General features: G+C 46.4%; 1 long non-coding RNA gene across 12 annotated transcripts in view; it reads left to right on the top strand.

Annotated features, from left to right (window-relative positions):
* Nucleotides 1–13,513, top strand: part of DIRC3 (disrupted in renal carcinoma 3) — a 506,425-nt gene that overhangs the window by 49,593 nt on the left and 443,319 nt on the right. For 2 of the 12 annotated variants that reach the window (NR_186293.1, NR_186292.1), the window contains one exon: nt 1,276–2,367. The exons of 8 other annotated variants lie outside the window; for them this stretch is intronic. This is a non-coding gene — a long non-coding RNA (disrupted in renal carcinoma 3). The remainder of the gene's footprint in view (nt 1–1,275; nt 2,368–13,513) is intronic. 2 more of the 12 variants (NR_186300.1, NR_186295.1) reach the window with 2 other exon arrangements.

The raw sequence follows: 13,513 nt of genomic DNA, 5'->3' as shown, positions 1-13,513 counted from the left end.
TATTGTTGAGTGAAAGGTAGGTGGGGGAGGAGACGATTTGGGTTCAGCTTAGTTTTGATACTGCAAATGCAAGTGCGGCGAGACCTAGAACTTTCCCCTTGGCTGCTGGGGTTTCAGTTGGGGTCAGGGAGGCAAATGGGGTCATGAAGACAGCTTTGGGCTGGGATTGGGACCCCTTGGGTCCTAGTCCTGACAAGGTAGGTCCTGCCTCAAAGCCCTGCTGGTCAAGTTGCTTTATCTCTCCAGGACCTATTTGCTAATTTTCAAAGCCAAATCTTTTGAAGAAATTATCTCTAAGGTTCTTTGCGCATAGCCCTGATGTTTGCTGATTGATGCCTTAATCTCATGATATGATTTTTGTTTGAAACAAACCCTGCTTTTCTCTGTGTGTGGGCAGCCATCAGAAGGTTCTAGCTTCTGTAGATGCCTGTGCGGTGCTGTCAGCCTCCAAATCATAATCAACCATGTGGCTGGGCCACAAAAGTCTCAGACTTGGCCTGATGGAAATCAGGCAGCTGTCCTGGAAGGAATGAGCTTTGCTCTGCCCGCTCTTCCTCTCCTGTTTGTTTGGTTTTACTCTTGTTCTGCGTCAGGGATGAGTTGGTTGGGAGAAGGGTACAAAACTTAGAGCCTAGATCTGCACATGTTGTTTGGTTTGGGAAATTAAAATATTTGGTTGATTTTAGTCCAATAATGTAATGTTTTTAGAAAGACAGGTTATTGGTCTGGATTCAGCTGATTTTTTTTTCTATCCTAGCATAAAAAGATTTTTAAAAATCCAGCAATTACAAAAAAAATTTGCAAAATGCCCTCTGTGAATTGGTTCCTCCTAAGTGGGTCTTCTGTAGGTGGGAGCTCTGAGGTGCAACTAAGATGAGCAGAAAGGGCAGGAGAAGAAGGGGAGACAGAGGCTGATGTAGGATTTTTATATCACTAGAAAGTTTTGTGGCTTCCATGCCATTTCTGGGACATAATTGGAAACTGCCTAAAATGTGCAGGGAAAGAGGAGGAAGGGGCTGTGAAGCTCCCCTTCCCTAGAGACCCTAAAAGCAAGTAGGTCCACCGGTATCCCTTGGGTTTCTTAGTCATCCTGTCTGGAGGCAGAGGGAAGGATGAAATGACCTCTGGAGGGCATATTAATGCAAATGGGAAGATGAACCAACCCATCTGGCTGAGTAGTAAGATCACCTGTGAGAGTGGAAACGTTTGCAAGTTGCCTCTCCCTGGCTGGTAGCCCATCTCTTTCCTTCAATCTCTCTCTTTTTTTTTTTCTAGTCCTGGATCAAGAATCTGTCATTCAGATTATTCCAGAGCCCCTGCCCCAGTTCTACTTATGCCTCCTGGATGCTGAGCTGACAGGCGTGGTGAGGCTCTGGCAAGCTTCTGCCTTCACACCCATTCCCCCAAGCTCACTGTCTTACTTTGCTCTTGGGAATCTTGTCTACATTTTAACAAACATCAGTTCACATAGCAGATTTGAAGCAATGAGGGACAGGCTGGGGAGGGGAGATGTTCTGGGATGGGAGATGCTTCTCATTTACCCTGTGGGTACCTGCCTTTTGGCTGGTCCTGAAACTGTCAGTATTCATCGTTACCATTCATTGAGCAGCTATTATGTGTGGGGCTCTGTACTGTCCTCTGAGGGTATTATCCACATTTTCCAGCTGGAGAAACTGAGATTCTTGCCTAAAGTCACAGCTTTGGTGAGATGCAAAACAGGGATGGAAACCTAGATTTGTCTGGCTTCAAAGCCTGTGCTCTTACCCAGCATACTCAACCATTTATTGGTGGCCAATGGTCATGAGCAGTTACCAGGATACCCTGTACTTATTGCTGTGTTCCTGGACTGGTGCTAAGTGCTTTAACTGGATTCCTACATTCAATTGGCCGCTGTTACACTCACAGCTTTGGTGGAGTTAGTCCTCAGATCTGAGCTGCGTCTTCCCCATGGGGCTGCAGCCCTCAGAAGGCCTCTTGCTGCCCAGGGCCACAGCGTGACTTCTGTGGGCACTTCGCCCTCATGAGTCCTACCCCTGGAGAAAAATATTAAAATTTATACTTTATGACTACATTGGCATAAAAACAAATGTAATTCCGGCTGGATTCATGATTGTATACTCATTTGTATTCTATTCATTTTTTCTTCTGATTTTTGAAAGACAACTAAAATAAAAACATTTTTGAGGGCCCCTAGAAATATTGTGGCTTCTAGGCACTGCACTGTGCCTCATGGAGAAGTACGCCCTGCGTGCTGGAAGTGATGGGCAGTCCTAAGAGTCTTGTCCTGGGAACTCCTCTGGACCCAGCAACCTCTGCTGCCACCTGACCTAGAGCCCAACCCCACTCCTTCAGCCGAGCAGCCCTAAGGTAAGGGAAAACCAGGATTGCCTCTGCCCTCTTACTCCACCCCTTCCACCTTCTCTCAAAGTCCTTCCAAGCCTCGTAGACAATCAGCAAAAGAAAGTCACCCCTCTAGGCCCTTTTAAAGACCATTTAGGCCCCCTCTGCCTCCCCAGCACAAGCTCTTTGATTTCATCTCCTTCTCTTCCCTGTTTGGAAACAGCTGACTTTTAGGAACTGCAGTGACCAGGGCAACTCACCCCACTTCCCAGGAAAGTCCCTCTTTCCTTCTCTCAGAGAAAGATTGGAGGCTGCTCTGGGATTAGTGCTGCCGGCTCCCTCCCCGAAGGCTTTGTACCCTGCAGCAGTGGGCTCCCAGGGCCTCCATAGGGAGAAGTGCCTTCTCTGCTCAGCCTTGACTTCAGAGGGGCCCAGGGTGGGAGTGGGAATGGAGGGCTCCATTTCTTACTTCATTCCTCCATAGTATATGGCTAAGTATTCAAGAATTATAAGCAAAGCTGCAAACTTGTATGTTCTTTCTTTCATCCTTGACAAAATACTGTTAACCAAACTGAAATGAAGCCAGGTAAGATGTAAGATATTGGCATTTATTTGGGGGGTCTTAGGAATTGTAATTTGGGAGACATAATACCTTTTATGACAACCTAGAAAATCAGCTTCTAAATTTAGAACTTCAGACTCTGCAGATACCTGAGCTGGAATATACTGGAGCAGGGAGGACTGTCCCTCGCCCCCGCCCACCCCTCTGCTCCTCCTACCCAAGCCCCCAATTTGAATCTAGAGTGTCTGTGTGCACACAAGGGTAGGAGTGGTGGTGGTGCCAGCTCTTGCAGCCCAGCCTTGCTGCCCCTTCAGTCTAGGGGTGTGTGTGTGTGTGTGTGTGTGTGTGTGTGTGTGTGTGTGTGCGCGCGCTAGAGGGGTGGTTGGCTCCAATCTTGCAGGGGGACACCCTGGGCAGAGGCCCAGACAGGAACCCAGAGTGTGTGGTTCAGAAGGAAGCCCTGAGCTTTGGTCTGGTATCTTCTCTTGGGCCTGTGAAATCCTTGCCCTGTGAAGAGCCCCAAGGCCAGAGGAAGGCCAGAGTGGGGCCTCTAAAGAATGGCCCAGTCCAGGAACCCCTGTTGTTTGGCTTTGAGGGAGGCGCTGTCCTCAGCCTCTGCTGTCTGGCTATCAATTTAGATCTGCTGACTCAGCTTATGAGGGGTTTGTTCATGTCTTAGGGCATGTGGCAGTGGTGGCCTTTTGTTACACATGATTGACTCCCACATCCTGGAATGGAATAGAACACATTGTTAAAACTATTGATGAGTGAAGTTGTAAAAAGCAAGTTGAAAAAGAGGCAAACTCCTAAGTACAATAAAGTAGCCTTTTCCCTAATATTGTTGGCAGATGGAAAATTGGTAATTTCATAATCAAAGCTTTATTAGGACATTTCTTGTGACATGTCCACTTAAGTTAAACCCTACAAGGATATGAATAACTCTCAAGTTTCATGCCAACTCTTATTACTTTGTAAATTGAGGAAAACACCATGAGTGCTGAGTGACGAAAGTTGTTGCTTTTTAATCCATACCAAGTTACTGGAACCAGAAAAATCCCTTAGTTTGTCATTCTAACACTCCCATCATCATTCTAAAATCTAAGCCTCCCTGCATCTTCCTCCCATACGGATGCAAAATGGAGAGAATACCAAGTTTCATGCTCAACTTTTTTCTTCTGGAAGAATTACTTTCTAGTTTCCTTAACCAGTTAATTCAACCATAATGACTGGGTACCTACCATGTGTCCAGCACCTGGCCGGTACTTAGAATGCAGTGGTGAATAAGACAGGTGTCCTTGCCCTCATGATGTTTACAGAACCATTTTTTAAATAACAGCAGTAAAATCCTTACTTTTCTGACAAACCACACATTTGAATTTAAACACAGAGAGGCTTTCTCTAGTAGCCAGGTTTCACTTTAGCAATATACTGGCATAAAAGGTTCTCAGAGGCTGCTGTCTGAAAGGATAAGTATCCCTGGGACCAAATCCTCTAGGCACTCGAGAAGCCAAGAGTGTCTATGCATCCCAGACAGGGGAGCAGACTTGACCACCAACTCACCCTGTCACTTGGAAAAAGTCATTTTCTGTCTCTGAGATGCAGTTTTCTGACCCGTGCAGCAGGATAGCTGGCCTAGATGATTCCCAAACTCCCCTTCCACCATGACATTTCAATGACAAACATTTTTAAAAATAGAAAATAAACAGTATTTTAAGCACAGGCCCTAAGTGACTTCATTGAGCTCACCTTGAACTGCCCCGCACCAGAAGCAGTTTGGCTCTTCCCTATCAGCCAACTCTGTCTGATCAGAATCTCCTGTTGTTTTTGAACTGGTTTGGAAACTGCAAGCAGGATGAATCCCAGCTGCTCATGCCCTTTGGGACTTCCCAGACCCCTCTGGCTGGAGAATGTAACCCAAGACTCTTGTTCTTGTATCTATGCCAGCCCTTGTCATACCGTAGTGGCCAATCTGTCTCCCACCAGATTAATCCATTTATTGCACCAATATTTATTGAGAGCTCGGTGGTGTCAGGCATTATTCTAGCTACAGTAGGGAATATAACAAAGCCCCTTTCTGCATGCAGCTTACATTCTAAAAGGAAGGGAGAAGAGGGAGAAATAAACCTGCACCCCCCCACCCATAATTTGATGTCATGAATGGTAAGTAGTATTATAAGGACTAGAGAAACAGAGTAAGGGGAACAGCATGAAGCAGAGTGCTGTTTTAGCTTGGATGATCAGGGAGGCCTTTTTGAGGAGCTGACTTTGGACATAGCCCTGAAAGAAACAAGGGCACGAGCCACGCTGCTCTCTGGAGGAAGAGTGGTTTAAGGAGGGAAAACAGCAGGAGCAAAGGCCCTGAGGTGGGAGCATGCTGCCTGGGCTCTAGAACAGCAAGATGGCCAGTGCAGTTGAAACTGGGAGCAGTGAAGGGGAGAATGGCGGGCAGGAGGCTGGAGGTCAGATCATGCCGGGGGAACAATGAGCATGGATTTTGTCTGAGGTGTGATGGGAAGTCTTTGGAGGATTTGAGGAAGGGAATAAATATGATCTGATTTGGGTTTTAAAAGGATCACCTGGTTGCTGTGTATAGAAGACACTGAAGTGAAACAAAGATGGAAAAGCAGGGGACCAGTTAGGACAGGGGACCCCAGTTCCCAAGCCATAGAGGTATCAGTCCATGGCCTATTAGGAACCAGGCCACAGAGCAGGAGGTGAGTGGGGGAGGGGGTGAGCAAACATTACCACCTGAGCACCACATCCTGTCAGATCAGTGGTGTCATTAGATTCTCATAGGAGCACAAACCCTACTGTGAACTGTGCATGTAAGGGACCTAGGTTTGTGCTCCTTATGAGAACCTAATGCCTGATGATGTGAGATGGAACAGTTTCTCCCCCTACCCCCACACCTGGTCCACCATGAAACTGGTCCCTGGTGCCACAAAGATTGGTGATATGGTTTGGCTGTGTCCCCACCCAAATATCATCTTGAATTGTAGTTCCCATAATCCCCATGTGTCACAAGAGGGACCCAGTAGGAGGTAATTGAATCACGGGGGAGGTTTCCCCCATGCTATTTTTGTGATAGTAAGTTGTCTTGAGATCTGATGGTTTTATAAGGGGCTTCCCCCTTTGCTCGGCTCTCATTCTTCTCTCTCCTGCTGCCTTCTGAAGAAAGATGTGTTTGCTTTCTCTTCTGCCATGATTTTAAGTTTCCTGAGGCCTCCTCAGCCCTGCAGAACTGTGAGTCAGTTAAATCTCTTTTCTTTATAAATTACCCAGTCTTGGGTATGTCCTTGTAGCAGCATGAAAAAGGATTAATACAGTTGGGGACCACTGAGTTAGGAGAGGATCATGGAGACTGGTGGGAGATGATGGCTTGGTTGAGGAGAAGGTGAGACGTACTTGGAATCAGGTATACGAATGCAGGCACAGACCATGCATTATTTGCCTGAGATGGGCTCTGGCCCAGAACAGATGCTCAGAAGAAGGGAAGATGAAAGTGGAGAGCTGTGGTCAGGGTTGAGAGAGGGAGAAAAGTGGAGAACACTGATACAGCTCTGGCAAGCCCACCTCTGAGGCTCTGTCTGCATTGCCTATACCTGTTTGTTTGCCCTTGATGTCTACATTCTACAAATACCTTGTTTTGGTTGAATCTTTTGTTGTTCAACCTGGCAGGCTTCTATTCCTGAACCTATTGTTTTGTCCCTATATGACCCCTTCCTGCTAAGAACAGCGCTGTCCTTTTGGGGCCTGCCCCTCCCACCCCATTGCTTTAATGTCTGCATCACCTCGGATTTGCTGGACCTTTCTTTTCTCTTAGGACCTCACTGCTTGCTCATGGAGACTGATCCTCTGTGTCTGCTGCCACAGTCACGCTGCTGCCCATGGGTTCCCTCCTGTGGGATGAGTTTTGAGCTCCAACATCACCTCTACTGCTTCTGCTGTGGCCAACCTGATCCAACCTGATCCTCAGATGCCTCCCCATTCTAGTCTCTGCTGAAGTGCCACACTGCTTTCCTTGCTTCTTTGATGCCTTTGGTAGGGACTGCCCCAAGATGCCAAGCAAGGCTACAGCCCAGCAACATGGGGAGATAGTGCCTCATGTAGAAAACTTTGACCTATGAAAGACAGGAGATGCGAGGGATCCAGCAGACAATTTTTTCTCTTTTCTTCTATGGGATGGAAGATTCTCAGGGGCAGTGATTATGCCTCGGATGTGTGAAGACATCCTCTGTGAATCAGAAACTGGCTGTGTCCCTTTGTGGAGCTGTGGGTAGCTTGGAAATGCATTCCTTGCATTCACCCCTTTCCTTTCTCTCTTGAGAGAGTGAGAAGTCTTTGCCTTGAGATTGTGCCTCCTAATAAGCCTTATCACTTAAGTGGTGACTCTGGCACCGTTTTCTTGGACACTCCCCAACCATGTGACTCTAGTAGGTTTTGTCAACCAGTTCCCTGGTCCCTTGGCCATGGAGGTGGACACTGACCCAAGCTAGACTGATAGAAGCCCTTACCTTTTGTCTTTTAAATTGGATTAGAAGAAAAACAGTTGTTCCCTTCTGGCATTGAGCCCAAAGATGCGAGTCTAAGAGCTGCTCAGGACAATTTCCCAAGGAATGTGGAGGAAGCCTGTCTGGGGGAAGGAAGCTGGCTTGTAGAGAGGAGCAGAGATGAGCAACACAGACAGTTCTGGATCCAATTGCTCTGAGACCCAGCTGCGCCCTGCCCTTCCCACAGTTTCCTTCTGTGAAGAACAAATTCTTTCTCCTTCCTGGCTAGTTTGATTGAATTTCTGTCATTTGCTCTATTAGTCAGGGTTCAGGCAGAAAACAGAAACCACTCTGAGTGTGTTACATAGCAAGAGTTGAACACAAGGAATTGGTTATGCAGAGACGGGAGAGCTGAGAAACCAAATGGGAATTAATGACATGGAAGCTTCCAAGACTCCTCCCTAGGGCTGAGGAATAAGGGGGAGGTGGTTTTACTGGCCACCAGGATGGGGCCACCTGCAGAAGCTAAGACCATGGCTGGCCTGTGTGGTGGGAGCTAGGGCCATGGAGCAAGGCTGACACTCCCTGAGATGCTGCCCAGAGCAGAAAGAGAGTGGCAGAAACAGCGTGGCCTCCCTCTTCCTTCAGCCTTCTGTCATGCCTCCCATTGGTCAAAGCTATCCTGAAGTCAGCAAGCAAGAAAGCCTAAGAAATATAGTATTCTGCAGTGCAGAACAGGGCAGAAATGAACTAGCATGCAGACCAAACAGGCAAATGACCAACACAGTGGCAGTCTAAGAGTCAGTTTATTCTGCAGTGCCTGCTTTTAACTGTGAACCAGAGAGCCAAGACTCAGTCTGAAGCCCTGTCTGTAGCTCGACACTGTGTCATAGCTCACAAGTTCATCACAAAGTTCTGGTGATGACAGCAATTATGGTGATGGTCCCTAAGAAGTCCTGCTCCTTTGGAGGTATGAATTGATTCCCCAGCGCATATTTTAAAGCCTTTACTCCTACATAGGGTATCCACAGGAAGTTGAGTTCATTACTTAGATATTCAGTTGAGCCACAGAGAGAACCAGGTGTAGCTTCAGAATTTCCATAACCAATAATCTCCTACCAGCACGGCCGCAGGAAGTCTCCTGAATTTCAACCCAGGGGTTGATCAGAGCTGCTTGAGTGGCCAAGACAGAGGTACTAAGCTTGCTAAGCTATGCTGGGTGCATTTGGAGTTCTCCCTAGCCTCCAATCTAAATTCCTTCCCCTGTATTGTCAGGTCACCCATGGGAGACCTAGGATAGGATTATCCAGAAGATCATGCAGGATTTTGAAAAAAGGAAAGAGCATTATTTTTGAATTTGAACTGAGCATGGACTTAGAAAGCTCTGCTGATGTGGCCAAGGAGGGGCAGGAATGGGGGTCATGTGATGGATTTTCAGACTCTGGAGTGACCGGAATGACTCACTGGAGGCCATCCAGGCCATGGGGTTTGAGGTCCAGTAGTGGTCAGCAAAGAAGTTCCTGGGAACCTAATGGGGACAATTTGGGGTTTTGCAGATCATCTGAACCGAGGTTGTTTCACATATGTTGGAGAACATGCAGCTCTCTATATGTCTATATTTTAAAGTAAATAAAAGATTCCCTGAGCAAACCACATGGTATTGGATGGGCTCAGACTCCTGTTCCGAAGCCTCTGCTTTCTGGCTTTACAGGAGCCTGTGGTGACCACTCTGGGCTGGGAGTCCGTGTGCTGGGTCAGCTTCTGGCTCCTGCTGAGGATTCGCTATAGCACCAGTGGACAGGCAGCTTGTCATGCGTGGGCTTAGTTCTACCTTTCCGTGAAACAGGTGGAGCCGGGGATCATTGGGTGTTGTGAGAGTAGATGAAATTTTTGCTTAGTATTGTGGGTTGAATAGTGTCCCCTCAAATTCATATGTTGAAGTCATAACCCCCAGCACCCCAAAATGGGACTTGGAAATAGGGTCCTTACAGAGGTAATCAAGTTAAAGTGAGGTCATCAGGAGTGGGTCCTAGTCCAATATGACTAGTGTCCTTATAAAAAAGAGAAATCTGCACCCAGTGACACATGTAGAAGGAAGATGACATGAAGGTGGTCATCCACAAGCCAAGGAGAGAGGCCTGGAGCAGATTCTTCTCCCATGTCCCTCAGAAGGAACCAATCCTGCCAACCATTGATTATAGACTTCGAGTCTCCAGAACTGAGGGAACCAGGGGCTGCAGAAAGAAGCCAGAGTGGGAGAGAGGGATGAGGCAATAACTTCCAGTGAGAAGAGCGTGGGAGATGCCCTTGTATCAGGATCTTGGGACTTGAGAATCACCCCTTCCTCACTTTAATTTCTAAGACCAACTCCTTTTCTAGTTAGACGACAACTAACATCTACTCTCTTTTCCTAGCTATTGTGTTTTCAGCCCCTTTCTTCCTTGCCTACTTACATGATCATGGGTGTATTAGGCTGTTCTTGTATTACTATAAAGAAATACCTAAGAGTGGGTCATTTATAAGGAAAAGAGCTTTCATTGGCTCACTGTTCTCTAGGCTTTACAGGTGGTGTGGTGCTGACATTGCTTAGCTTCTGGGGAGGCCTCAGGAAGTTTACGATCATGGCAGAAGGGGAAGGGGGAGCAGGTACATCACCTGGTGAAAGCAGGAGCAAGAGAGGGAGGGGGAGGTGCCACACTCTTTTAAAAAACCAGCTTTCGAGAGGTCAGTCGCTATTGTGAGGACAGCACCAAGGGGATGGTGATAAACCATTAATAAGAAATCCATCCCCGTGATCCAATCACCTCCCACCAGGCCCCACCTCCAACACTGGGGATTATAATTCAACATGAGATTTGGGTGGTGACACAGATACAAATCATATTCATGGAAAAATCACCTTGAACCTTATTTCCAGTACCATCTTTCTCATTTCACTTGATAGCATGCTTATTAGAATGAAATTCACTGATGTTCATGCAAGTGCTTAGAAACTGTAAAAAGGCTGGGTGTGGTGGCTCACGCCTCTAATCCCAGCACTTTGGGAGGCCAAGGTGTGCAGATCACCCGAGGTCAGGAGTTCGAGACCAGCCTGGCCAACATGGTAAAACCCTGTCTCTACCAAAAATACAAAAATCAGCCACCAGGCGTGGTGGCGCGTCCCTGTAGTCCCACCTTGGGAGGCTGAGGCAGGAGAATCACTTGAATCCAGGAGGCGGAGGTTGCGGTGAGCTGAGATCACGCCAGTGCACTCTAGCCTGGGCGACAGAGTGAGACGTGAGAGTCCATCTCAAAAAAAAAAAAAAAAAAAAAGAAAAAACAGTAAAGGATTCAGTCTTACCTGTCCTTCAGTATCAAGGTTGAATATCATCTCTTGTCACACCACTCCATTGAGCAGGAATTAATCACATTACGTTTCCTTCTCTCAAGGATTACATCACAGTCTCCTTTAAATTGTAATTATTTGCTGTCAGACTGTGAGCCTCATAAAGACAGGATAAACGTTTCACTCAGGGTTGAATCTCTAATGCCTGCCACATCATGGGTGATTAGAAAATGTGTTTCACATTAACTAACAAAGACTTCAGGCAGAGCATGGCCCTGATCAGTCCCCAGTGGCTCAGGCTGCAGAGCTGTGCCCTGGAGCTGGTCCAGGCATGGGTGGAGAAAACACAACTCAGATTTCTAGACTCATGAGAGGCCCCCCTTTCCAGCTCAGCTTCGCCCAGCAGCATGGCCCCCTCCTACAACTTAATCCATTGTGACTTGAAGGCAGCAGGCTTGACTAGTGTGTCCATTTCGGCAGGCAAACATATAATTTCAGGTCATGTCCGGTGCCATTTGGAAGGAAGCTCAGGTTTCCCTAAGTGGAAACAGCATGCTCTGAAAGTAATTATGGGCCAGGAAGCATGTTCTGGAGTGAGACCCAGCATATCTAAACAAAGGTTACCCTTCCTGCCTGGTGACAGGACAACCCAGGGAGGACATAACCAGTCCCAGTTAATCCCAATATTATCCTAGGAGGGCATGCATCCTGCCGGGAGGAGCAGGCCAGACTGGCACTGGGATATCTGCCAGGATTCTGGATGCCCGTTATTTTTGGGTTTTGGTTTACTATGGGCTCCCTGGGGTCACTCTTTTCCATGCTAGGACCTCAGAAACAGAACATGATGAGCTCCTTCTTAGAAGTGGTGGGACCTTGGAAAATTGCTTCTCCTCTCTGTTTCTGTCATCATGAGGAAATTGAACTAGATAACCTCTGACCAATTAATTGTATGCTGGTAAAAGTTTAACACCAGCTCTTTGGAATAAAAAAGCTCTGGCTGGGTGCAGTGGCTCACACCTGTAATTCCAGCACTTTGGGAAGCCGAGGCAGGTGGATCACCTGAAGTCAGGAGTTTAAGACCAGCCTGGCCAACAAGGTGAAACCCCGTCTCTACTAAATATACAAAAAGAATTAGCTGGGTGTGGTGGCAGGTGCCCGTAATCCCAGCTACTTGGGAAGCTGAGGCAGGAGAATTGCTTGAACCTGGGAGGTGGAGGTTGCAGTGAGCCAGGATCACACCACAGCACTCCAGCCTGGGTGACAAGAGCGAGACTCTGTCTTAAAAAAAAAAAAAAAAAAAGCCCTGATTTGTGGTGTCTACTGATTTCTGCAATGTGAATACTTTCATCCTGGCCAGTTTCAAGCTACAACGTGATGTCATTGAATGCAAACTTGGGTGAGATGCACCCACTTGGCTGCTGAGAGCTGGTATGAATGGTAGGAGCCAGCCCCAGAATATTACTGCTTCTAACTCTGACATCTGCAAATTTCTTCCACTATTATCCAGATAAGTGTCATCCAGTATTCATCTGCTATATTACAGATGCAATACAGCATCTATATTACATATATAGATATTTATCTGTACCTGTATGGGTATAACCAGAGCTGGCTACATTATTTGCTGGCCCTAGTACAAAATAAAAATGTAGTCCCCTTCTTCAAACAGCAGGAAAAAAATGCCATTAAAGGTTTTAAAATTTAAAGTTTTTTCCTTTCTTTCATGGTTCCTCATGGTGTTTTAAAGTTGCTATTTAATGTAGTTCTACGTGAATAAACACTTAAAAATGAAATTATTACCATCAATTTTACTATTCTTTATATTGTAAAATGCCAGTTTTTGATGCAAATATAGTGTTTAATTAGTAGAATCACTGAAATGACATAATTATATTTCATAGCTCATTCATGACTATATGACAGTGGAAACTCACAAAACTAACTACTGTTTGCCATAATGGTAGGCATGCGTGGTCCCTTATCTCCTCTGCTCACGTGCATTCTCATGTCCCATTAGATTCCAGTTCCAAACACAGAGATAAAATTAGTACAAATTTCAGGATGGTCAGAGCAGAGTAGCAAACCAAATATAGACCCTTGTAAGTTCAGGGTCTATATTCAAGTGACTGTGGAGGTCACACCCAGGAAGCTGGATTTGGGAGTACCATGTTTATATATGGGGTCCATTCTGATTAGTCATTCCACTTCTTTTTTTTTTTCTCTTGAGACAGAGTCTCACTCTGTTGCCTAGGCTGGAGTAAGGGGCACGATCTCGGCTTACTGCAGCCTCCGCCTCCCGAGTTCAAGCGATTCTCCTGCCTCAGCCTCTCCAGTAGCTAGGACTACAGGCGTGCACCACCGTGCCCAGTTAGTTTTGTATTTTTAGTAGAGACGGGATTTCACCGCATTGGCCAGGCCGGTCTTGAACTCCTGACCTCAAGTGATCCACCTGCCTCGGACTCCCGAAGAGCCGGGATTACAGGAGTGAGCCACCATGCCTGGCCTTCACTTCTTGATATGCACATATCCTATCAACTCTCTCTCCCTTCAGTTTACTGATGAGTAAGAAAGGACTGAAAGGAAAAATATCTATGGATTGTGCTATCTTGTTTTTCCATCTATGTTATCATTTTCAGCATAAATAAATGGTTGGTTCATATAGGGAATCAAGACAAGAAAGAAAAGGATATGATAGGGACTCTTCATTGTTTATGTTTCTAAAAGTCATTTCAAAGCAGGTTGGTTTGAATGGGAAATGTAGACTTTTGGAGCTACGACTCCCATATTACTCAGTCA

This window comes from Homo sapiens, chromosome 2 (genome assembly GCF_000001405.40).
Source record: "Homo sapiens chromosome 2, GRCh38.p14 Primary Assembly".
In the NCBI taxonomy this organism is placed as follows: domain Eukaryota; kingdom Metazoa; phylum Chordata; class Mammalia; order Primates; family Hominidae; genus Homo; species Homo sapiens.
The sequence above is the reverse complement of the archived record's forward strand: the minus strand, read 5'-3'. Positions and strand labels throughout refer to the sequence as shown.